This window comes from Homo sapiens, chromosome 7 (assembly GCF_000001405.40).
Source record: "Homo sapiens chromosome 7, GRCh38.p14 Primary Assembly".
Classification (NCBI taxonomy): Eukaryota; Metazoa; Chordata; class Mammalia; order Primates; family Hominidae; genus Homo; species Homo sapiens.
In genome coordinates, this window is record NC_000007.14 from 12,587,506 (window position 1) to 12,613,631 (window position 26,126).

General features: G+C 40.3%; 2 protein-coding genes across 6 annotated transcripts in view, besides 1 other annotated feature; one reads left to right on the forward strand and one right to left on the reverse strand.

The window, feature by feature from the left end:
• The window catches only part of LOC107986768 (uncharacterized), a 31,315-nt gene extending 23,613 nt beyond the window's left edge, over positions 1 to 7,702 (reverse strand). The window contains exons 1-2 of one of the 3 annotated variants that reach the window (XR_007060635.1): positions 7,417 to 7,702; positions 1,001 to 1,560 (exon numbers count right to left, since the gene is read on the reverse strand). Coding sequence is in view for 1 of the 3 variants with exons in the window: in XM_047421172.1 (XP_047277128.1) it covers positions 6,172 to 7,173 (1,002 nt within the window). In the remaining 2 variants the exon portion in view is untranslated. Of the gene's footprint in view, positions 1 to 978; positions 1,561 to 5,370 lie in introns of those variants that run through there. The other 2 variants (XR_007060634.1, XM_047421172.1) reach the window with 2 other exon arrangements.
• The window catches only part of SCIN (scinderin), an 89,463-nt gene that overhangs the window by 16,786 nt on the left and 46,551 nt on the right, over positions 1 to 26,126 (forward strand). For 2 of the 3 annotated variants that reach the window (NR_156701.2, NM_001112706.3), the window contains exon 4: positions 17,009 to 17,158. Coding sequence is in view for 1 of the 3 variants with exons in the window: in NM_001112706.3 (NP_001106177.1) it covers positions 17,009 to 17,158 (150 nt within the window). In the remaining 2 variants the exon portion in view is untranslated. Of the gene's footprint in view, positions 1 to 2,017; positions 2,069 to 17,008; positions 17,159 to 26,126 lie in introns of those variants that run through there. The other variant, NM_033128.3, reaches the window with a different exon arrangement.
• Positions 8,133 to 9,332: an enhancer, noted in NCBI's record as "CDK7 strongly-dependent group 2 enhancer chr7:12635263-12636462 (GRCh37/hg19 assembly coordinates)". NCBI's record gives its function as "activates an origin of replication core promoter dependent on BRD2, BRD4, P300/CBP, MED14 and CDK7 cofactors, with strong dependence on CDK7, by STARR-seq in HCT116 cells {active_cell/tissue: HCT116}" and the evidence as "EXISTENCE:reporter gene assay evidence [ECO:0000049][PMID:35650434]".

Consider the following 26,126-nt stretch of genomic DNA (forward strand, 5'->3'; position numbering starts at 1 on the left):
TCATTTTAGTCTTCTGATGTCATGGCCACATATCACTACAACACCCTTTCTGGTTCTGTCAGCCACTACTGCATTCTTCTCAGGAACTCTGCTTTGTTTTTCCCAGACTACCCTAGAATTGTGGGACACGGTATCCTCATCGTACCAGTGCCCCTTGGCCCAGTGGCTTGGATGCTACCCTCAGTCATTTCTGCTCTAATGCTTAGGCTCATGGAGGGGTGTAGGACAAATCAATTGGAAGGGAAGTGTGCTGGGCTCTTCTCAAAGATTGATTGCTTTGGGTTAGATTTCCTACTTTTTTCAGTCTTCTTTTTTACTTTTTGAACCAGACAAACTAGTCTTACACCACCTCACATTCTTGCCTACTCTGTGTTTCCTGCAAGATACACTCCAGCCCCTAAGACCCACACCGTACTGCTTAAGATGCAAAACCAGCTTTCGAAACAGCATCCTCACTTACTCCTGGCCAAAAAGCTGTAGCAAAATCAAATTTCTTTTAAATTAAAACTATGTTGGCTTTCAGACTTTTGTCTCTGCTATTACTTAAAAATGCTTATTTTAAAACTAAAGACTGAACTAAATCTTCTCTGTTCTGGATAAATTTGTCCTTACCCCCAAAGTAATGCATACCACTAGATTTATAAGAGGAGAGCCTTGAGGCAATAAGAATGGATAATGGGAAAGATACACCAAATCTTAGATCTCTAAAATGTACCCTGAAGTAAAAGTAGGGATGAATGGCATTTATTCTGTGCCTAGTGCGTGCCGAGTGAATAGAATTGTAAGGGTAAACAGCAGATAGGCTTTGACCTTCAGGTACTGTCAAATGCTGGGAGGCATAGACACATACACAAGTAAGAGGATGACAAGGTAAAATGTGAGACATGCAGGAGGAAAGGTGTAAACACATTATAATTGGAGAATGGATGAGGGCGCTGTAAGGTTAGCCGAGAGAAAGGACGAGAGAGAGACCCAAGGTCAGGAGAGTAAGTTTACTAACCTGCCAGGCTGCTTCACCACAGTCAAAGGAGGCAGCCCTGAGCTTACAAAATGAGGGTTTTATATGGGGGAGAGAGACCCTGGGGTTGTTTGTTGGTTAACCTTACCACATATCATCTCGTGACCAGGTTACAATATAGGAATTTACAAGAGGGTGTAACTTAGGTTTATCCACGTTTCTCGTGACCTCCCCCATGCTGCCCGTAGGGCTGTAAGCAAGTCTGGTGACCTTGCTGTAGTGCCTAGATAAGGGTCCAGGAATGCAGCTGCAGAGTATTCAGGGTAAGGGACAGCTGCATTGGGTGGGGGGGGGGGGGTGCGGGGGCGGGTGGGAAGGGGGAGGGGTTCTGGTGCAACTTGTTCCTAACATTCCAGCCTTTTAATAGGTAATAGAAGAGGGGCGCCGTTGTCCTCTGGCTGCTTCTTGCTGGATAGGGGCGATGGTTGGGGGGAGAGGCTGGGTAGTAGGGACTGCTGTTCCTGGAGCTGTCGGTATTCTCGGAGTAGCATCATGTCTTGTACTGTTCCATGGGTGAAGGCTCTAACACGGCCCTGTAAAAACTGGGTAAGGAGATGTAAGAGACATGGGCCAAGTGCTAAATGGAGGAAGAGGGTAATGGCAGGGCCTAGGAAGGGCAGTAGCCAGGGTGCCCAGGAGTTACGAAATCACCTGGGCCGGGAATCTGAAAGGCGCTGCCTGATTTCAGCAGCTTTTTTTTTTTTTTTTTTTGAGATGGAGTCTTGCTCTGTCGCCCAGGCTGGAGTGCAGTGGCATCATCTCTGCTCACTGCAAGCTCCGCCTCCCGGGTTCACCCCACACGCCATTCTCCTGCCTCAGCCTCCTGAGTAGCTGGGAGTACAGCTGCCGGCCACCACGCCCGGCTAATTTTTTCTATTTTTAGTAGAGACGGGGTTTCACCGTGTTAGCCAAGATGGTCTCGATCTCCTGACCTCGTGATCCGCCCGCCTCAGCCTCCCAAAGATCTGGGATTACAGGCGTGAGCCACTGCACCCGGCCAGAAGCTTTTTCATTTATTCGTCCAGCAGCATCTTGTACTAGTCCTGACTGGTTAGTATAGAAACAGCACTCCTCTTCTAAAAAGATACACAGGCCGCCTTTCTCGGCAGTGAGGAGATCTAAACCTCGATGGTTTTGAAGTGTCACTGCTGCTTAAAGAGTCTTTTGGAATTGGAGAGCAAGTCTATTTGGGATTGGAGACCCCTTCGTGGGGTTTTGGGAGGGCCTGGTCGGCTTGTTGGCAGAGGAGATAGCTCATGAGGGAGACTGTTGGGAGGTATTCTCCTAGCTGAGAGTTAGAAGGGGGCCTGTTTTGTAAGAGGAAAGGGCGTCCGTATATTAACTCAAATGGACTGAGGAAGGAGGGTGCTTTTGGACTGGCTCTAATGCTCTCCAGTGCTATGGGCAAAAGGGAGGTCCATGGTTTTTGGACTTCAAGAGTGAGTTTGGTTAACTGAGCCTTAAGGATCCCATTTGCCCTTTCGACTTTTCCGGATGTCTGGGGCCAGCATGGGATATGGAGACGCCACTGGATGCCAAGGGACTGAGAAACCTGTTGAGTGATTTGGGAGATGAAGCTAGGGGCCATTGTCTGATTGTATGGAGCCAGGGAGACCAAATGTAGGGATGATTTCTGTTACAAGAATTTGGGAGACTTCTGCGGCCTTTTCTGAAGAGGTAGGAAATGCTTCTACCCACCTAGAGAAGGTGTCTATAAGAGTAAGAATAAATTTTGTCCTCTTGACGGGATGAATGTGGGTGAAGTCTATTTGCCAGTCCTCCCCTGGGAGTGTTCCTCTGAGGGGATGTGTAGGGATGGAGGGAGAGTGGAGGGCCCCTTGGGAGGAAGTAACAGAGCATATAGGACAGTTTGAGGTTATGTCTCTTAGTGAGGTGAATAGATGGGGGGAGGAGAAATAGGGTGAAGGAGTAGGTATGGGGGCGCACACTGATATGGAAGGATTGGTGAAGAGATGTCAGAATTTCTTTGGTCTGCTCTTAGGGGAGGACGAGCTTTTGATTTTTGACTATCCAGTCCCCTTGAAAGGAGGCTGCTTGCTGTATAGCAAAGCTTTCTCGGTGGGAGAGTTCTTGGGTAGGATTGCTGGGATAACAGGAAGGAGAGGGGCAGAGGCAGAAGAAAGGGAGGCTTCTTTTGCTGCCTCATCGGCCTTTCTGTTGCCTCGAGATTTCATCTGAACCTGTTCGATGTCCTCAACAGTGTATAACTCCTGCTTTAGCTGGGAGGTGTGTGGCCTGAAGGAGTTAGTAAATAAGGTGGCCATTAGTGATAGGGGTTCCTTTGGCAGTAAGGAGTCCTCTCTTTTGCCAGATAGCAGCGTGGGAACGAGGAATGTGATAGGCATATTTGGAGTCTGTATAAATGTTGACTCGTTTGCCTTTGGAAAGATTTAGGGCCCTGGTGAGAGCTATGAGTTCTGCTTTTTGGGAGGAGGATCCTGGCTTCAATTACTTGGTCAAGGGAAACAACTGCATATCCAGCAATCTGGGGGGTAGCTGGTGGGCCTGGAAGAGGAGCCATCTATGAATAGTTGATCATCGGGGTTGGTGAGAGGCTCGGAGGAAATGTTTGGGAAATGTGGCTGTACGTGGTCCAGGATATCAGTGGAAGAATGAGTAGGAAGGGAAGAGGATACGGGGAGTAAGGATGCTGGGTTGAGGGAAGCACTTCTGGTAAGACTGAATTTGGGATTTTTTATAAAGAGGGCATGGAGTAATTGAATCCTGGAAGGAGGAAGGGAGCTTACTGCTTGGGAGGAGAGGAGATCTTGTAGATTATGAGAACTGTGGACGGTGGTATTCTGGCTGAAAGTTAGTTTCCTGCTTTCTAGAGCTAAGCTGGCTACCACTTCTAGTGCTTTAAAGCAGGCTGGCCACCCTTTGACTGTGTTATCTAGTTGTTTAGAGAGGTAAGCTACAGGGGCAAAGGAAGGAGGATTTCCTTTCTGTTGTCCTAAGACACCGAGGGCTATTCCTCAGCTTTCAGCAGTATAGAGAGTGAAAGGTTGGGAGATATCAGGTAAGGACGGAGCTGACGCAGTGACAAGAGCAGTTTGGAGTTTGTGGAAGCTGGGGAGTATGTTATGTGAGGGGTTTAGGGGTTCATTGGGAGGGCCTTTGGCCACTTCATAGAGGGGATGAGCTAGGAGGGCAAAGTTGGAAATCCATATTCTAAAGAAGCCTGCTAGCCCTGGGAAGGAAAGGATTTCGCTTTTGGAGGAGGGTGGGGGTAGATTTTCTATTAATGCTGCCCTGGCTGGAGTCATAGCCTGGGCCCCAGGGGAAAGTTGAATTCCTAAGTAAGTCATCATGGAGATGGAGAGTTGGGCCTTGGAGGGGGAGACCCTATACCCTTTGATAGCGAGAAAGTTTAAGAGAGCAGTGGCCGTGTGAGTTTGAGAGTCTTTTAGAGAGGGGCTGCAAAGAAGAAGGTCGTCCACATATTGAAGATGACTGGGAGACAGGTTTAAGGAAGTAAGGTTTCGGGCTAGAGCTTGTCCAAAGAAATGAGGGCTATCCCTGAAGCCCTGAGGGAGGACAGTCCATGTGAGTTGTTGTGACTGGAGGGTGTCAGGGTCAGTCCAGGTGAAAGCAAATAGGTTTTGGGAATCAGGGTGTAGGGAAATGGTAAAGAAGGCATCCTTCAGGTCAATTGCAGTGTAGAGGGTGGTGTTGGTAGCGACGAGAGAGAGAAGTGGATAGGGGTTATGGACTATGGGATGAATAGGGAGGACAGCTTGACTGATGGCTCGGAGGTTGTGAACGAGTCGGTATGAGCCATCAGACTTTTTAACAGGGAGGATAGGGGTGTTATATGGAGAGTGTGTTGGTCTAAGAAGACTGCATGAGCAGAGCTTGTTTACGATGGGCTGTAGGCCCTTTTGGTGGGTTAGAGAGATGGGGTATTGAGGAACATTGGGAAATTTGGAAGAGTCTTTTAACTGGATTCTGATGGGGTCATGGTGAGCAGCTACGGAAGGGTTAATGAGAGAGGCAGGAAGTGGGTACTGGGGAAAGGGGTCAGGGGCCGGACTAGCGGAGAGGAGCAGGAGGGGACTCTGGTTGAAGGGGGCAAGAAAAGGTGATAGAAGCTTTGACTTTGGCTAAAAGGTCTCAGCCTAGAATGGGGGTGGGGCAATGAGGCATGATAAGGAAAGAGTGTGAGAAAATGGCATCAAACAGGGAACAAGTAAGAGGTCTGGTGGCAAGCGGACAAGAGATGAGTCCGTCAACCCCCACAACTGAGACTTGAGAGGGATGAGTGGGTCCTGAGAACTCAGGCAAAGCTGAGTAGGTGGCCCCACTATCAATTAAAAAAGAGATCAGCTTACCTGCTACTAGTAGAGTTACCCTGGGCTCCGATGCAGTGATGGCAGTGGGGGCCGGGAGCCGGGGCCCAGGGGCCCTGGCCTCATCAGTCTTCAGTGGCTAGGCCAAGGAGCTATGGGAGTGCAAGTGATTCTTCACTTTTTGTCTTGTTGAAGGGATGGTGGCTCTGAGGAGCATGCTTGTCTGCCCATCTGTTGAGAGGACAGTCAGACTTCCAGTGCCCATCTGCTGGCAGACTAGGCAAGGGCTCTTCGGCACTCATGGGTGGGGACATGGCCCCGTCCAGTGGCCTTCTTTGCCGCACTTAAAACAAGGCCCAGGAGGTTTGCTGCTATCAGGTCTTTTGTGCCCTTGGGTACTATGGCTAGACTGACAGATAGCCACTGCTGGAAGCTGGTATTTAGCACGATCTCTTTGGGCTTTATCTAATTTATTTTGCTCGTCCCTGTTATTAAAGACTTTGAAAGCCAGGTTAAGGAGGTCTTGTTGTGGGGTTTGAGAGCCATCTTCAGCCTTTTTAAGTTTGTGCCGGATGTCAGGGGCAGATTGGGAAATAAAACGGGTATTAAGAACAATAGTTCCTACATATGTAACAAACCTGCACATTGTGCACATGTACCCTAAAACTTAAAGTATAATAATAATTAAAAAATAAATAAAATTTTTTAAAGAAAGAACAATAGTTCCTTCTCAGGAGGCAGGGTCGATGCGGGTATATTTTTGGAGAGCTTCTGTAAGGCGGGAAAGAGATTGGGCAGGATTTTCATCTGCCTTTTGGGAAATGTCTTTAAGTTTTTCAAAATTTACAGCCTATGGGCAGCTTTGTTAAGGCCTGCAATGAGGCAAGTAATCATATGGCTACAGTACACTTGGCCAGGGTCTGTGGGTTGGTATTCCCAGGAAGGCTCTTCCCAGGGAACAGCAGCAGCTCCTACGGGCTTAGTAGGATCCTGCTGATGAAGGTCATCGGCATATGCCTGTGCTGCGAGCCACACTCTTTCCTTCTCTTCTGGAAGGAGGGTAGAAGAGAGGATAAAGTAGAGATCATGCCAAGTGAGTTCATAAGATTGAGTAAGATATTTAAATTCTTTGATGTAAGTATCAGGATCGGAGGAGAAGGACCCGAGACGTTCTTCAATCTGTAAGAGATCGTAGAAGGAGAAAGGGACGTGGACATGGACGATCCCCTCAACTCCCGCTACTTCCCGGAGAGGAAGCAAGGGAGCTGGTTGCTGAGCACATTGGGCCCGAGAGCGGGTGAGGGGAGGAGGCAGAGAGGACTCAGAGTCAGAAGTGGGTTGGTTGGAGAGAGTGGGGGAGAGGGGTAGAGCCGGAGCAGGGACATACGGTGGAGGATCATGATGCTCTGGTGGAGGATCATGATGCTGTCGAGGAGGGAGAAAATCCACGGGGTCAAAGGAAGAGGAGTCATCGGCTGGGTCTGTGGGTGGGGTGACGGGAGATGAGTCAGGTTTTGAGCTGGTGAGTAGGATTTGGAAAGTAGAGCAGGAGTGGCAGAGAGAAGGGTGGTTACGGAGAATGAAGAAAGCCTGAATATAAGGAATCTCAGACCATTTCTCATTGCGATGGCAAAAGTTGTCTAAGTCTCTAAGTATATTGAAATCGAAAGTGCCATTTTCGGGCCATTGGGAGCCATTGTCCAATTGGTATTGAGGCCATGCAGTATTGCAGTAAAAGATAAGCCTCTTAGAACGGATCCCTGAACGGAGGCCGAGAGCCTTGCGATTGCGGAGGAGACACCCAAGGGGGGTGGTCTTGGGAGGGGTAGACTGAGAGGCTCCCATAGTGAATGGAGGAGGTGAGGGTAGAGGAAGAAGGGACCACAGACGACAAAGACGAGAGAGGGCGGCGCCTGTCTTGCAGGCCTTGTATGGAATAGAGGAGGTAGCTGCGGAGTCAGGCGTCCAGGAAACAGAGGAACCAGAGGCCTGGAGGCCAGAGGAAGCCCTTGGCCCAGCGCTGGGTCTTTTGGGAGTGAAGAGATGGTCAAGGGTTCCAGGTAATAGGCAAAAGTCTCTCTTACTCACCCCTCTCAGAGGCTTTGATGGTGGATGAGGTGGCCAACAATGGGAGAATTTTGGGAGATCCTTAGGGTCTTTAGCAGGTTCGGGAAGGGGAGGTTGGCTGGGTAAGGGATGATAGGAGAGAGAGAGAGAGAATCCTCTAAGGACGCCCAGCCAGAGCCTATCCCCTTCCTGGGTTTTGGCACCAAAATGAAGGTTAGCCAAGAGAAAGGATGAGAGAGAGACCCAAGGTCAGGCGAGTAAGCTTATTATCCTGCTGAGCTGCTCCACCACAGTCAGAGGAGGCAGCGCTGAGCTTACAGAATGACGGGTTTATATGGGGCAGAGAGACCCTGGGGTTGTTTGTGAGTTAACTTTACCACATATCATCTTGTGACCAGGTTTCAATATAGGAATTTACAAGAGGGCGTAACTTAGGTTTATCCACGTTTCTCGTGACCTCCCCCATGCTGCCCGTAGGGCTGTAAGCAAGTCTGGTGACCTTGCTGTAGGCCTAGATAAGGATCCAGGAATGCAGCTGCAGAGTATTTGGGGTAAGAGTCTGTTGCATTGGGGTGGGGGGAGGGGTCCTGGGGCAGATTGTTCCTAACATTCCAGCCTTTTAATAGGTAATATAAGAGGGGCACTGTTGTCATCTGGCTGCTTCTTGCTGGATAGGGGCAATGGTTGAGGGGAGAGGAGCAGGCACTAGGAAAGACAACTCTTAAGATGTTACGATTTGTACTTTAATATTCAGCCATAGCTTCACATTAGAATCATTTGGAAAAGTTTTTTAAAGTACTGGTAACTGTGACTTGACCCCTGAAGATTCTGATTTTAAAGTTTTGGAATTTGGTGTTTGGACTTCTTAAGACTCCTTCCCTCCAGGATACCATAACATAAGGTACACTGAATGTTGTAAATCACTTCAAGAAAATGTCTAAAGATGCTGGACAATTCAGGGTCGTATTGTTACCAGTAGAAGGTATCCAAATTACCAGTGGCAAATCCATATGGGTCTGCAGCAACCTCAATTCTTACCTCCTCAGAAGAAAGAATTCGACTGACGGGCATAAGGCAGACAAAGAGACCAAGACAAGTTTCAGAGCAGGAGTGGAAGTTTATTTTTAAAGAGCTTAGAACAGGAAGGAAAAGAAAGGAACGTATGCTTGGAAGAGACCCAAGCAGGTACCAAGGTCAAGCGCGGTGTTTACTTTGATCCTAGGATTTTATAGATTCCTTTCCCATGATTCTTCCCTTAGGGTGGGCTGCCTTCATGTGCAGTGCCCTCCTTACCCTTGGGAGGTGAGAATATGCAGTGTGTCTAGGAAGTCGTACACATGCCAACCTGAGTCTTTCTTCCTTTTTCCAGTGGCGTGTCCCCAGAAGGTCATACTCCACCATGTTGTCTCATCTTGCACATCCCCAAGAAGTTGCTTCTCCCTGACGTCTGCGTTTAATTAAGTGCAATAGGTGTGGACCATCAGGAAATGGCCTCCCTGATGTCTGCATTCACTTTAGTGCAACAGGTGTGAACCTTCAGGAAATGGCCTCTTTCTGGTGCCAGCTGCCAATTTATCACTTTTAGAGAGGCAATGTGATCATTGCTGAACCATCAACTGACATTCCTAGTGGTTGGGGGAGGGCCCTCTCCTGCCCCACTCATGCCTGCGTAACTACCTGTAACAATACGCATGAAGAAGCAGTAACTCTTGATGTTGATTGAGCAGTTGAGTCACCAACTTAGGTGGCTGGCAGAAATGCTTTTTGTTAAAGTATGACTGTAAGCTTTTTTTTTTTTGGTTTGGCAAACACTTTGAGTAGTAAGAGAATATAATTTCACCTGTGCTCACTGGTGCTACGCAAAGATCCCTCCCAAAACTGTTCATCTGGTCCTGATGAGTGGCATCACTACCAGCAACCAAGCTAGAATTGTCCAAGTCATTTTCCTTTTCCCTGTCCCTCTACTGCACATCCAAATGGCATTATTGACCAATCCTATAGGCTTAGACCTTCTAAATATTTATTTCTCTTCTCTCTATCACCACTGATCTGCCCTAATTCAAATGTAGTTGCTTCCTTTCTGGTCACCAAGCCTTCAGTGGCCCTGCACACCACTCCATTCATCTTGTGTCCTTCATTCAGAGGTAGTTTGAAAAACACACACAATATCTTTCAATACATACGTAACTGAAGGATATTGAGTTGAGCTGGCTTTGAGGAGACAACAAAATAGATATAAAGAAACATTTGTTTATTCAAAAACGAGATGTCATATTTTAAACTTTTAAAATAAAAAAGGTTCGTGGAGTTATCTCACAAATCATTGTTTTTAAACTATACTTAGAGAACCTCTAGGCTAAAGATACATCTTAATGAATTTCTATATTTGGGTAACTAGATCTAAGGGAAAGCTAAACACAGGAAAGACAAAGCCAATAGATGCCAGGAAGAGGAAGAAGTCTGGCCTCACGTTCTCCTTTAATCAGATTTTAGATGTATTTAGAATAATAACTTAGAAAAGGACCAAAGAGCAGCAAGCCTATGCTGAATTCCTTGCACATGTTGAGTCAACATCGCATAGGCTGTTTTGGGTGCTCCTTTAAACACAGCCTCTGAAATCTTGCTTTTCCTCAAGGGCACCATTGAGCATTGTTTTACTTTTGCCCTTATTTTCTGTCCTCAAATGATGTCTGGCTGCACTTATTAACTCAACACATAGTTTAAAGAAATTTTAGAAACCTCTGATTTTCAAGACCAATAATAGGACTCCCCTCCCCAAATGTGGTTGTTTCTATAAATATAACTTGCTTGCTCTTATTTCTTGTAACTAGTGGACCAGACTAACTGCCAGTAACAGATTGTATTTATAGTCTCATTTCTTCCTTTTCCAATTGTGCAGAATAATTTTGTTTTTCTTTAATAGTTTGTATATTAAGAGTTAATTATAGTTTCACAAACTTCTGCTAGAGGATGTTCATATACAATATGTACATCAGCTTTCTGCCAGAATTTAAGTGGATTTCATTCCAAATTATTTATAAATGGATAATTTCATATTTACAGGGCTTTTTTAAACATTGCTTCCCTAGAGAAATATGATATTTAGTGTTGAGTTGTTAAATGCCTTAAGATCTTAGATGGTGAAATAGTTGCCCCTGAAACTGTTTGCTTTACAATTTTCAGTGTCTAGCATACTTAAATCAAGTCAATGAATGGTTTTTAAACTAAATTCTGTTAAAGCATTATACATAAAATAACTTAGATTATAGTGAAAACTTTCTGTTGTAGTAATAGGTATTTACCTATCACATTTATTCAGACTTTTTTTAACTTTATGAAGGAATTTATTTTTTAAGCCTACTCCCTGGTGGAAACAGAGTAAGGTGAATTAAGAACAGAGTTTTTTTCAAGCATGGTGCCAAATGAATACAAAGTTTCCTTCTGCCAGAGTGGTGAAGTAGTCATAACTAACTACCTCTGAATAGAGTAAGTGTTGGGCCGCACAGTTTATTAATAAAACTACACACACTTACTTCAGCACAGTAGAGCTCTGTTAAAATGAGATGTCCTAAACACACTATCCACACATGGTGGAATATACATTTTCAAATTTGATGAAATACTAAAATTGTGTTTTTAAAGCAAGTTTTAATGTACTGCTGCCACCACTGAATGAACATTTAATTAGATTGAATAAAAACAGTGTTATCGGCCTGGCACAGTGGCTCATGCCTGTAACCCCAGCACTTTGGGAGGCCAAGGCAGGCAGATCGCTTGAACCCAGGACATCGAGACCAGCTTGGGCAACATGGTAAAACCCCATGTCTACAAAAAACAAAAAACAAAAAAACAAAAAAAGTTCGCTAGGCGTGGTGGCACATAGCTGTAGTCCTACCTACTCAGAAGGCTGAGGCAGGAGGATTTCTTGAACCTGGAGGCAGAAGCTGCAGCGAGCCAAGACTGCATCACTGCACTCCAGCCTAGGTGACAAAGCCAGACTCTGTCTCAAAAAAAAAGAGAGAGAGAAAGAAAAAAAAACAGTGTTTTAATTAATAATGACTTGTCAAGCATTCTGACTTTTAGCCATTTACAATTAAAGTTATTATTTTATTAAATTTTTTATATCAACCATTGAAAAGTAAGTCTACTAAATAGGAAAATATATCACTCGTATGTAAATAGTGGCATAAAATAAGGTGAAAATAAAAAAGAGAACACAGGTCATTCATTTTCATGCTGAGTAAGAAGTTTTCTGTAACCACTTTGCTTAGTAATTTAGTCACCTTTGAGGTAAAAAGAAAACTTGACTTTTAAATTCTGATCTACTTTTGATCTTTCACTTTAATGTAAAATATAATTATTAGAAGTCTGTATTCTCAGACTTGCAGAGAAAATAATCACTTGCAAAATATCATGGAATAAGATAGGAAGAGGAATTTTAGCAAAACACTGCTTTGTATTTCATGGTGAGTGTGTGTGTGTGTGTGTGTGTGTGTGTATCACATTTTCTTTATCCACTCATGGATGGGCATTTGGGCTGGTCCCATATTCTTGCAATTGTAGATTGTGCTGCTATACACGTGTGTGCAAGTATCTTTTTTATATAATGACTTCGTTTCTTCTGGATAGATACCTATTAGTGGGTTTGCTGGATCAAACAGTAGATCTACTTTTAGTTCATTAAGGAATCTCCACACTGTTTTCCATAGTGGTCGTTAGTAGTTTACATTCCCAGCAACAGTATAAAAGTGTTCCCTTTCACCACACCCACACCAACATCTGTTTTTTTTTTATTTTTTCATCATGGCCATTCTTGCAGGAGTGAGGTGGTATCGCATTGTGATTTTGATTTGCATTTCTCTGATGATTAGTGAAGTTGAGCATCTTTTCATGTTTGTTGGCCATTTATGTATCTTCTTCTCAGAACTGTCTGTTCATGTCCTTAGCCCACTTTTTGATGGGATTGTTTCTTGCTGATGTGTTTTTGAGTTCTTTGTAGATTCTTGATATTAGTCCTTTGTCAAATGCATAGTTTGCTAATATTTTCTCCCATTCTGTGGGTTGTCTGTTAACTCTTGATTCTTTCTTTTGCTGTGAAGAAGCTTTTTAGTTTAGTTAAGTCCTATCTATTTACCTTTGTTTTTGTTGCATTTGCTTTTGGGTTCTTGGTCATGAAGTCTTTGCTTAAGCCAATGTCTAGAAAGGTTTTTCCAATGTTATCTTCTAGAATCTTTATGGTTTCAGGTCTTAGATTTAGGTCTACTCAGCCATAAAGAGGAACGAAATAATGGCATTCGCATGCACCTTGGATAGAATTGGAGACTATTATTCTAAGTGAAGTAACTCAGGAATAGAAAACCAAACATCATATGTTCTCACTTATATGTGGGAGCTAAGATATAAGAATGCAAAGGCATAAGAATAATACATTGACATTGGGGACTCAGGGGAAAGGGTGAGGGATGGTGAGGAATAAAAGACTGCACATTGGGTACAGTGTAAACTGCTCGGGTGATGGGAGCACCAAAATCTCAGAAATCACCACTAAAGAACTTATTCATCTAAATAAATGCCACCTGCTCCCCAGAAATCTATTAAAATTAAAAATTTAAAACAAAAACAAAGATACGTGTAGGAAAAAATATTCTGATTTATAGGGTCAATGTTTTTCTGTCATGAGTCAAGTATAAGTAAAATGTTTTCAAAACAAAAACATTAGTTTGGGCTCAGCAGAAAAGTCTACTGAGTTGCACTGGATAATTAGATGTTACAGATTCCCTGTTGTGCACAAGTGTGGTGTGCTCAGAGTACATCACACTTGGCACACACTGGTTGAATGCTAGAATCACCTGAGGAGCTTTTAATAAACACAGCTGCCCAGAACACACCTGAGATTTCCTAAGGATAGGGCTCACATCTCTGTATTTTTAAAAATTACCTTGCTACTCTATTATCTGATTTTAGTGCTCAGTGGCTAAGAGTTGACTTATCACTGGGAGCCCTTTATTTTTACTCTTTGTAACTGCTAACTTTGTCATGGTATTCAAATGACCTCCACATGTATGCCTCATATTCCAATGCCCAGATGTAGAAAAGAGGTTAAAAAGAAGCAATAGAAGTGCACTATTCTTTTAGAAATAGGAAAGAAACACCCTTTGACCATACTAAATAACTGCATTCGATTCTTGAGAGAAGGAGATTGCTAGACGTAGTCCTTTTGATTTTATTTCTTATAAAGTTTTGCATTCCTAAAATGTGTATTTTATTCTTAAAGAGGACCGTGGATTAGGTCATCAGGAATGTTAAGCGGGGGTCAGAGAGACTATTGCAAGCCTACTTTGTTCAGAATGGTGCTTCCAGTACCTACAGGAGAGGCTGCCCCATTTTAGTCACTCAGTAAACCATTTTTTGAGTGAAGAAATGACTCTGGGCTGGAAATTTAATCAGAGAAGAATCCATTTCTCTGGATGTTTTATTTTGCTATTTCTAATTTATTTACTCTTTTGAAAAATTGCAAACACACTATCAAATACCCAGAAAGTGGCAGCCTAGGTCCATTTCCCTCACACTTAACCACAACTCTACATGGTTGACTAGATGAAACGTGTGTGGGAGTGTTGTGAAAACCAAGCACAGTGCAAATGTATTATTAGCCAATTTTTCTACCAGTCCACCTCTCCTTGCTAGTTTTTTCTTAATTATCTCTGTATCCCCAGCATAATAAGCAGTGAGTAATGTATGTGACATAAAAACAAACAAAAAAAAATCACTGACTTAGATACAGTAAACATTGAAGGCTTTCTTTCTGCATATGCATGCCCTCTGAATCTCTTAAAACTGTTTATCATTTTTTTGTGCAAACACAGAGCCAGAGCTTGTGTTTTTGTTTCTACTTAAATGTAATTATATTATTCTATGTCTTTATTGTATTCTTGATGATATACCTTCACTAATTTTCTACATCAGTATTTAAACATTTTTCTTAATTTTTAACTACTGAAGAGGAGTGGACAGGACTCATGCAATGACATTTATGTAGCCATCCTCTTATTGATGGGCATTTGTTTTGTTTCTTATTGGGGGAAGTCGGTAGAACATGAGATTCTTAATCTCAGGGTCCTGGGTTTAAGCCCCAGGTTGGGAGCCAGATATCGGCGGAACCCGCTCCCAATGTTTCAACATAGGTTCTTTCTATTTTCCATAAGCATCAGCTGGCTGAGAAATAAAGAGAAAGAGTACAAAGAGAGGAATTTTACAACTGGGCCTCCAGGGGTGACATCACATATTGGTAGGACCATGATGCCCACCTGAGCCTTAAAGCCAGCAAGTTTTATTAAGGATTTCAAAAGGGGAGGGGGTGCAAGAACAGGGAGTAGGTCACAAAGATCACATGCTTCAAAGGGCAAAAAGGAGAACAAAGATCACATGCTTCTGAGGAAACAGGACAAAAGGCAAAACAGAACTACTGATAAGGGTCTATGTTCAGCTGTGCACGTATTATCTTGATAAACATCTTAAACAACAGAAAACAGGGTTCGAGAGCAGAGAACTGGTCTGACCAAAAATTTACCAGGCTGGAATTGCCCAATCCTAGTAAGCCTGAGGGTACTCCAGGAGACCAGGGCATATTTCAGTCCTTATTTCAACCGCATAAGACAGACACTCCCAGAGCGGCCGTTTATAGATCTCCCCCAAGGAATGCAATTCCTTTCCTAGGGTCTTAATATTAATATTCCTTGCTAGGAAAAGAATTTAGCGATATCTCTCCTACTTGCACGTCCATTTATAGACTCTCTGCAGGAAGAAAAATATGGTTCTTTTTGCCCGACCCTGCAGGCAGTCAGACCTTATGGTTGTCTTCCCTTGTTCCCTAAAAATCAGTGTTATTCTGTTCTTTTTCAAGGTGCACTGATTTCATATTGTTCAAACACATGTGTTTTACAATCAATTTGTACAGTTAACACAATTATAGTGGTCCTGAGGTGACGTACATCTTCAGCTTACGAAGGTAATAGGATTAAGAGATTAAAGTAAGGCAGGCATAAGAAATTATAAGAGCATTATTTGGGAAGTGATAAATGTCCATGAAATCTTCACATTTATGTTCCTCTGCTGTGGCTCCAGCCAGTCCCTCCGTTTGGGGTCCCTGACTTCCCGCAACAGTTTCTTTTGTTTTTATATCCCATGTTCGAATATTTCTGTAGTATAGATTCCTATAAATGGAATTTCTTGTTATTAAAAGCACATTTAATTTTTTTTTTTGAGACAGTGTCTCGCTCTGTCCCCCAGGCTGTAGTGCAATGGCATGATCTCCGCTCACTGCAAGCTTTGCCTCCCGGGTTCACGCCATTCTCCTGCCTCAGCCTTCTGAGTAGCTGGGACTACAGGTGCCCGCCACTACACCTGGCTAATTTTTTATATTTTTAGTAGAGACGGGGTTTCACTGTGTTAGCCAGGATATTCTCAATCTCCTGACCCACGATCCGCAAGCCTCGGCCTCTCAAAGTGCTGGAATTACAGGCATGAGCCACCATGCCTGACCTTAATTTTTTTATAATGATGCTAAACCACCCTTAAAAAACCTGTGTCAGTTTATACCACCCAAATAGTGGGTGATAATGCCCACTCCCACAGCCACTCCAGGTCTGGGTATTATTCAACTTCTCTTTCTTTCTTTTGGTAAACAATGTTAATGGAGGAGGTAATTTTTCATTATTATTTTACGTTTGTATCCTTATACCTTCTGGACACTATACCAAAATCTACAATCTAAAATATATAGTAGTTTAATCTAAATGGTAGCTAATATAATCTCTACTATATGTCACACTGTTATTCTGTTTCGACTTTTTCATGTTTCGATGTTAAAGTTTAATTTTAACAGTTAAGTATCAAATTTTCCCTATATATCATAATTTATATAACTATTATCCTATTCTTGAACAATTAATGCCTTTCCAAGGCCTCACCAATATAATTACATAGCAACGAAAACCCTTATATGTGTGGTTTTTTTCTCCTTTTATGAATAATTTATTAAAGTAAATGCCAGATAGTGATATTACTGGGACAATATCACTCTTTTTATGGCTCTTGATAAGAATTGTTAAATTGCTTTACATATATTAATTATCTTGATTCAGCCATTCCACAATGTATACATATATCAAAACATCATGTTATACACAATAAATACATGCAACATGTATTTGTCAATTTAAAAACATGAATAGTTTTACAAAAATGTTATATCCATTTTATGATCATCAAGAGTATCATATTTTTACAGATTCTTTACTACTTTTCTGAAGTGTGGTATATTTATTATTTCAAATTTAATCCATATGTTTACTTTTATAAATTGTAATTTATAGATTATATACACAGAGAATGGTGATATATATATTTATATTTTCCATGCTTAAAAACTGCTTACTTTGTAATGCTAACTGAAAGCAGCAGGATGCAGAATGAAGTGTAACAATTATGTATATACCTCAACAATAGGTCATTTAATTTTCCTTTTTCTTTCCTAATTAATCACAAGTATTACACTGAGGCTGAATGTCTTCCTCATATTCTTAGGGTCAACAGATCTGTCTCTTTCTTTTAGGAAATTTATCAGTGGTGTGGTTCCTCGTGCAACAAATATGAACGTCTGAAGGCAAACCAGGTAGCTACTGGCATTCGGTACAATGAAAGGAAAGGAAGGTCTGAACTAATTGTCGTGGAAGAAGGAAGTGAACCCTCAGAACTTATAAAGGTATTGTGACTCCTGTTGTTTGTTAAAGGGTTACCACTCCAACTCGTATGTGTCTGTGTGGTGTGTGTGTGTGTGTAAGGCAGCAGGGTGGGGAAGAAGGGGAAAGAGATTCAACACATGTTTCAATAGTGAGCCTAGCTACAATTAGTAAGAGGAAACAACAGGGTTATCTAAGTGATGGAACTGGGAAAACAGAAAGTCATGACTTTCTCTTACCGTTGGTGTCACTATCAAAGGAGCCCTGGGCCTATCTTCTATAGTATATGAGGTGAAACAAATGAGTGACACTTCTGAAATTGACCGTAAGAATGTATTTTGGAAGGAAGACAATATTAATAGTTCTTTCATCTATTCATCTGGGCTTCTCAGGGTTTTACTTGTTTTTTGTTTTTTTGTTTTTGTTTTTGAGACGGAGTCTTGCTCTGTCGCCCAGGCTGGAGTGCAGTGGCACGATCTCCACTCACTGCAAGCTCTGCCTCCCGGGTTCACGCCATTCTCCTGCCTCAGCCTCCCTAGTAGCTGGGACTACAGGCGCCCACCACCATACCTGGCTAATTTTTTGTATTTTTGGTAGACGCAGGGCTTCACCATGTTAGCCAGTGGTCCTGATCCCCTGACCTTGTGATCCGCCCGCCTTGGCCTCCCAAAGTGCTGGGATTACAGGCATGAGCCACCCTGCCCGGCCTTCTCAGGGTTTTTTTCAAACACGGTGGTTTTCTTCAATTTTAAAATTAACAGTTGCAGGTTGAGTATCCCTTTTCCAAAGTGCATGGGACCAGAAGTGTTTCAGATTTTGAATTTCCGGGGTATTGGAAATATTTGTATATACAAAATGATATATCTTGGGGATGGGAGTCAAGTCTAAACATGAAACTCATTTATGTTTCACATACACCTTATATGCACAGCCTGAAGATAAATTTATACAATATTTTAAATAATTTTGCGCATGAAACAAAATGTGTGTTAAGTACTTGTGGGTGGAATTTCCACTTGTGGCATAACATCAGGACTCAAAGTTTCAGACTTTGGAGTATTTCTAATTTCAGATGTTTGGATTAGGGATGCTCAACTTGTATTTCGTTAAAGGAATTAAATACAATCTTATACCAAGAGATTAAATATGCCAGTATTTAAAATATTTCAATCATTTTAAGCTAAGAATTATACGCAACACACTTATGATTTTAGTGTAGTTCTTAAATTAATGTGAAAATTAAGTGTTCATGGCTCTATAGACCCTGCATCATTTACTTAACGATTATATGAATCTTAGGCATTTGGTTGTGACCAAACTTTGTCTTTTAAGAATATTGCAGTGACTACCTAAGTATATATATTGTATATATTCCCTTAAATAAGACTGTCAGTTAAGGAGTATAACTATATTAAGATGTCTTCATACGTATTCACAAATTAATTTCCATTTGTTCATACAACAAATATTTATTGTACTCCTGCGATGCGCCAGGCACTAAATGTTTGCACCAGTTGCTACTTCCTTGTACGAGCACTGTGTTCCATCGTGACTTTACAGAGCCCTGTCAAAATCTGTTGATATAATACCTTTTTGAAACTTCTGCGTTTAATAGTGGTAGGTGGTATCTCTGAGTTTTCATTTCTCTGATTTCCTGGAATATTATACATATTCCTCCAGTAATTTTAGATTTGCATTTAAATCTATCTAAAGGCTATCTCATAAACATTTTTAATATTTTTGACTTACAGAAATTTAATGCAGTAGTTACATGGTCCAGTGATAGCCTAAAAATCCAGTGATCAGAAATTATATGAAATAACTTTATGTATTGTAATGTCTTTAAACTTTATTGCTTTAATAATGCCCAGACACAGACTTTCACATTAATGATGTTTTGGAAATAATTTTAATTCAGTGGGGAAAATTCTCATGGTATAATACTAGGAGAAAAGACAGAATATAAAATTTTATATGCAATATTATACTAACATATAATATGTGTATATAGCTCTGTATTCATACATATGTACATACCTAGAAAATTGTGCTAAAATATTACCAGTATTACATCTTGGGATGTGGCTGCTTATTTTCTTCTTCATTTGTCTTTGTTATAATTAACATATATGATTCATTTTATAATCAGAAAAAAAGTCCATTTAAAAAATTAAGATAAAATTAGGGATGGTTTTACTGGATTTTCATTGGTTAGAATAACATAGCTAATAAATCAGACTTTGAAAAGTATTCAAAACAAATTCTTGATCTTTTAATATTCTTTTAAGGCCTCTGTTCTAGAGATGGGATCAACCATGTAAGTCTTCTAACTTGGCATATTTGGAAGCAAAAATCTATAAATAAGATGTATTTCTAGTTGACTGTAATCCCTTGTCTCAATAGCTATGCTTGGATAGAAGCAGATTCAGGAACAGGACTTGCCTTGTGAAGTGGTAAGAAGAGTGTTACATTAACTATCGGACATCACTCATGCTTCTCCAGGGTCACCCTTGGCCCAAAGCAAGTCTCCTGACTATTCATTGTGTCTGATTCCTCATATGCAAAGTGAAGGGTTAGACAAAATGGCTTCTCCAGTCCCTTTAGGTTCTAATGATCTATCCTTCTACCTTACCTCTTGGGCAGCAGCTGTGTTTAATTACCACTCATTTGCCACTTGTAGTCTGTTCCAGGAAGTGATGCTGCTGCAGCTGAGGGGCCCTGCTGGGCATGTACATATGTGGTGTCCTGGCTTATTGGATTTCATTCAATGTTTCGAAAAAGAAAGTGTAAACAGTCAATACATTACACTGTAAAATTAAAATAAGAAAAAGCAAATGAAGAAAAACTGTGCAAAAATATAATTTGGCTTTAAAATATTAGTGATAAGGATAAAGAGATATAATGCTTAAGATAAAATGTGATGTCTGTGTTTCCAAGACTCCTCAGTTTGGTTTTTAGAAAAATCCTACAAAGCACCCACTTTGTTTTCATTCAATACATTCAGTGTCTATACTACATTTTATTTGACTGCTTTCACTCACACAATGAACTGAGATGAATTTTCAGTGAAAACCTTTATTAGATAAGGAAAAAAAGCATTCAGTGGTCTTTTCGCTTTTGGAAATGTAGTTTTGTAGCCTGATTACAAGAAAGAGTAATTATTTGATTAATTAATTGAGCACCTATAACAAACTTGTTTGACTTCTAGGCTTTCTTAGTGTTGTAATGATAAGGATAGAATACAAAAAGCCCATGAACTTGGTTGGGAAGAATTACAACTTTATTTTCACTAACCTCTTAACTGAAATACGGCCTTTCCTCCAATTGTGAAAGTAATAAGCAAACGTGAGTAGCAGGAACAGTACTGTGACTTTTCAGCTCACATTATAGCTATTGTACACAACCTCAAAATACGTTTATGCTCATTGCTACTTGGTAATTATTATTGTTATTAGATCTTCTGCTCACTAGTATTTAATGAGTTAATGAAAAGCTCATATATTACTTTACCAAACTTTAAAATATGTATTTTGATATTTTAATAGCTGCATTTCAATGTAATTTATTTCCATTATAATACTTTGTATCTTGTTTTATGCATTTAGCAAATATTTTTCTTAGAAGGGAACTAATAGGTTTCAGAAGTGTTCCAAACCAGTCTATACTATGCATGCACACATGCACACACACACACACACACACACACACAGAGTATCCTTGTTTAAAATTTGAAAATGTCATTTCTTTTTCTGAGACCCTGGTGCAACAGTTGATTTTACTAGAGATGGAGTCTGAAAATCTAAAAATTTTTCAAATATATTTTAAATTGAGGTTTTATTTATTTATTTATTTTTTGAGCTGGAGTCTTGCACTGTCACACAGTCTAGAGTGCAGTGGTACGGTCTCGGCACACTGCAGCCTCTGCCTTCTGGGTTCAAGTGATTCTCCTGCCTCAGCTTCCCAAGTAGCTAGGATTACAGGCACCCACCACCACACCCAGCTAATTTTTTGCATTTTTAGTAGAGACGGGGTTTCACTCTGTTGGCCAGGCTGGTCTCAAACTCCTGACCTTGTGATCCGCCGGCCTTGGCCTTCCAAAGTGCTGAAATTACAGATGTGAGCCTACGCACCCGGCCTAAATTTGACCTTTTAAAAGACTCATTTCTAATGGGGTTCTTTTAAAATTATTAACTTTAAAAGCTTTGAAAGTCTCTCTATGTGAAAGTTAGAAATGGCTTGAAAGCACGGATATTTTAATCAATTAAATGAGCCTGTTTTCATTACTCTGTATTGAGTGCTGAAATTTTTGAACTTGTCTAACACATTAAAGTGCTCAACACTGAAACTCACACTTTTCTGAGAGTCTTTTGAAAAATTTATCTTTAGTTTGAAGTATTTCAGCTATTGATCACAGTATTTTCACACAGTTTTTATATGGCTTATCTCCAGGGTGACCATAAATTTATCCTCCAAAGCAAAGCACATTGTAGAGTAAAAGGGGGCACTGAGGAGATAGGACACAACCATCATTAACAAGACTGTCTGGGGAAACAGGATGTGTGCTCACCCTCCTTTCTGTATCTTTAGTACTTTTAAAAGCCCGTGTGCCTAAATAGGAAGACAATCCTATATGTGGAAAAAACTAAACTCTGTAACTAAAGTCAAATTTTACTCTGAGCTTGTTTTTGCTGCAAATATATTTACCATAAATGACTGCACATAAATTATGTAAAGCTTTTTTCGTGATCTTTCTTCTTTTCATATTTAAAATAATCAGTGAATGTGAAGAAAAATTAAATATTTCACTAGCCCTAAGGTCCCAAACTTTATTCCTTGATTAATCGTTTTGTAAACATTAGGAGGAAAGCAAAAAACAAACAAACAAACAAAAAAAACCCCAAGGAAAAAAATACTATGTTTTTTAGACTTTCATTAAGAAAAAAACCCAGCATCTGGTAGATATAAAAAGAATGAAGATGAAGAAAGGGCAAGTTGTTTGAAACAACAACAATTTTTTTTATTCTGGAAAGACTTTTTAAATATAGTTTAATGAATTCGTTAAGCCTATAATCATTGTAAATGCTGGTGGTGAAATACTGGCAGTAAAAATTCTACAGGGAGATGGTAGGCAGATGCTGTGTTGCTGAACTGTTGTTGAACTCTTGCTTTTATAAAAATGACTGTAAGGCTCTCTGGAAAGTCATACATGCAATGATTGTTTCAGATTTTTGACCTAAAAAAAAAGAAAATCAGAATAACATATTATGTCTCCATTAATAACTGTTTATCAAGTGCAGGGTTGGTTCCCAATGAAGTTTGAAGACTCTGCTTACTTTATTGTCTGGTTGAGGAGATAAGCATGCACTAGAAAATAGTCAGAAAGTGTGGGAATAGAATCGTGAGGGTCCTCAGAGGCCAGAGAGCATGGTCTGAATAACACCACAATTTGTTGGAAGACTTTTCATGATGAAAATCCTATTTTAGACTTTATGATGTTAGCATATAGTCTAGATTAAACTCCAAAGGTTCTCCCAAAATAGAAAATGTGTTCCTTTTGTTTTTTAAGTCATAATTCACAGTATGAAAACAAAAGAATGTATTCAGCCATTCTCTTGGAAAGTTGATGGGATATTTACCCTATGCTGATCTGGCTGTCCTGTTAGTAAAAACTAGAGTTGAATAGTGAAGATAGTTCTTAAGTTATCTTTTAGAGATGTACTCTACAAAGCCTGTTAAGGCAAAGAGTAAATTTTTAGCCATACTTCTTCAAAGTACTTTGCAAAATAAAATTTATATGTTATCAATGCTAAGTTCCTTGAGGGCAGGCACTGCCTTTATATTTGTGTAGCCCTCACAGCTCTAACTCATTGCCCACTCGTATTTGGATAATTAAGACAATTAACTGTGAAATATGTAGTTCCAGAAACTAAGTATGCTTGTTTTTCTGTTTTTTAGGGGATAGTATGGCTTAAAAAATTCCCTTATTTTAGGTGATATTGTTGATGTAGACATGAACAAAGTCATATGCTGATTAAAGTAAGTTTTAAGACCAACTAGATTTACATGGAAAGGCAGTTGGTACTTAGAAAGGATAATTCAAATATTCTGCTCCTCTTCTTTTTTCAGGTGATAGTTAGAACCAGCCTCTCGAAAAACAACAAACAGGTCTTGAGCTTATTTATACTTAGTGCAATACTGTCCCACATATTAGGCAGATGGCATATACTCCAAGTGAAAGTGCTTCACACGGTAGGAAACATGTAGCTAGTATCTAAAACTCTTCATCTATGAATTAAAATGCATGTTACCTTACGTCCCTCTCAGGTCAGGTCATCACCCCTTTTAGAATCCAGCAGCCACAAAACTCCAATTCTTTTCTTGCCAGGACAGCATGTAACACTGCTGCCCGCTGCCTGGCTACCCTGATTGGCTGTTGCCTGCAATTCCAGTGCTGCCTCTTTGGGAACTGTTGGGGCCACCACTGCTCACTGCTCTGGACTAAAGGTGAATTTGCTCCATGAACTCCAAGGATCTACACAGATGTAGTGCTTTATTACTGAGTCATCTAGTACATTTGTCTTGTTCTTCCCCCAAAGTTAATGTCAAAAGGCTGTGCACATTGCTAGTGCTTCCAAAGTTCTTTTAAATTTACAGAAATGAGTGATTTTTAAATTTTAATAATTTGATCATGGGAACATTCATACATTTTGGAATACAAAGTAAAAGATTACCAAATCAAATTGGAATTTGGAAGCTTAGGATTTTGTCAGCATTCCTTAAAGTTTTTCTGTGGAAATGTTTGTCCTAAGTTTACTAGACTTACATGGGTTTGTATTTTAATATTTTAATGAAAATATAGTTGTACATTTAAATAAAGAATGATTGTTTTGAAAATGATACTACAGAGAGAGGAAAGAGCTTTATTTCTGGGGCGTGACCTTTGATTAGATAAATCAATCATTCTCCATTTATCTTTATAGGGTTGTATCGAATGAACCAAAGAAGTACTAGTAATTGAAATGGGGAGCTTTGTGAAAATCCCTCTCACGACCACTTTGTAACAATATATTTAGCATTTTTGAAAGAGTCTAAGGCTTTATAGGAAAATGGTATAAATAAATATATAGCTAGGCTGGTGGTGCACACCTATAGTGCCAGCTATTTGGGAAGCTCTGGTGGGAGGATTGCTTGAGTCCAGGTGTTCAAGGATGCTGTGAGCTATGATCATGCCTGTGAATATCCACTGCACTCCAGCCTGGGCAACATAAAGTAACCCTGTCTCTTAAAATAAAAAAAAAAAAAGATTAAGGTTGCTTTATGGGTTTGTAATACCCACACAAAAAATAAGTCATTAAACTATTTTTCTGTTGCCCTCCTATTTTTTTTCATTCTAGTCGAAACTCTGTACTTTGTAAGAATGGAAATTTGAATTGTCTGAGTTATCAGTTGGGTCTAAATATTTGTATGTTTTCCAAGTAGTTTTAGCTTCCTTATTTATCCTGCTTTTATTTTCCTATGACTTTTTGTAAGTCCTTGGGAAATTGAACAATGTCTTAAATATTTTGTAATCCCTCATTCATGTAGCATTGTGCCTGACACATAGGCACTGCTCATCAAGTGTTTGTCGTTTGATTGAAATAACATTATTATGAGAGTCATTGGGAAAGAGGAGGTCCATTTACCGACTTACCATTCAAAGATTTTTAAGTTAAAGGGAGCAAATATATTCGCAACCCTCTCTAAATTAGTCCTGAGGCTACACTGCATATAGAGAAGAGATGAACTATCAGAGATACAAGCAAGTAGGAATCTTTCTCTTTCTCCTCTTTGCTGCATTGTAATTAATGCATTTTCTCCATTTTGCTTTACTGCAATAATACTTAGTACACTCCTGAAATCCAAAGTATTACAGTGATAAGGAGTACCTGCCCCAAGTTGCGACGCTCTCTAGAACACTAGTGTTGCTCCAGCTATTTAGATCTACCATGTATTGATGGCTTACTGTTTGCCAGGCACTGTTCAAGACACTATTCATTCCTTGTTATTTAATTTAATGAATTTGTTGCTTGGATTTCTAGTATTGAATTTGGATACCCGTTTTGTTCCTCACCAATTCATCCAGTGGGGGAAGTTGAAATGTTCTGAACAAAGATAAGAAATTCATATAGTAACAGCTTATCATATGCTGCAAGAAAGTGATAACATTTCACATAATCTCCCCCTTTGTCACACCAAATTTCATAACGAAGACTTGTAACCTTACAGACAAGGTACCACTGTTATATTAATCAGTCCAAGTTAACACCACTTGGCAATCATCTCTGAATGAGTTAATTTTCCCTTTAGCTTGCAGCTGAAGTGAGGGAATATCAATAGACTCTGTAAATAGGATAATGCAGTTCCAAGACAGATGGATTTAATGGGTAGGACAGGGGAGAGGGATGGATCTTTGCCCCACAAGACGTATATCTGAACTGATAAGCTAATATAAATATTGAACTATAATGGCAGTTTCTATTCTATCCTTTTAGTGTTCCACTTGTCACAATAGTGATAATATATTTAAAAAAAACTAACAGACTGTATTTTTTCAGTAATTTTAGGTCAAGTTCATCTTATCCTTTGTGCTAAGACTCAGCTAAACACAGATATAAAAGGGCCAGGTCTCTGATTCAGTGATTCATGATTTCTTGCATTCATTTTGTAAATTAGTTTTTAAGTATATAATAATAAACAATAGTATTTACTTCGTATCAGTTTCCTCTTACATATTGTGCTTAGAGTTAGCCAAGCCCAGATACGAAAATGTTAAATATGCAAGATTCAGCCATTCATATCTCCTTAGTATGTATTTGATAATAAGCATTTGTTTAATATCATGAGGAAATATGCTCACATATTGGAAAGAGGTTCCTAAAATGGTGGCCACCTGGATTGTGCTTCCAAGTACTGTTTTTCCAGAGCCTAGAATCACAGAGTGTTGGAACTGGG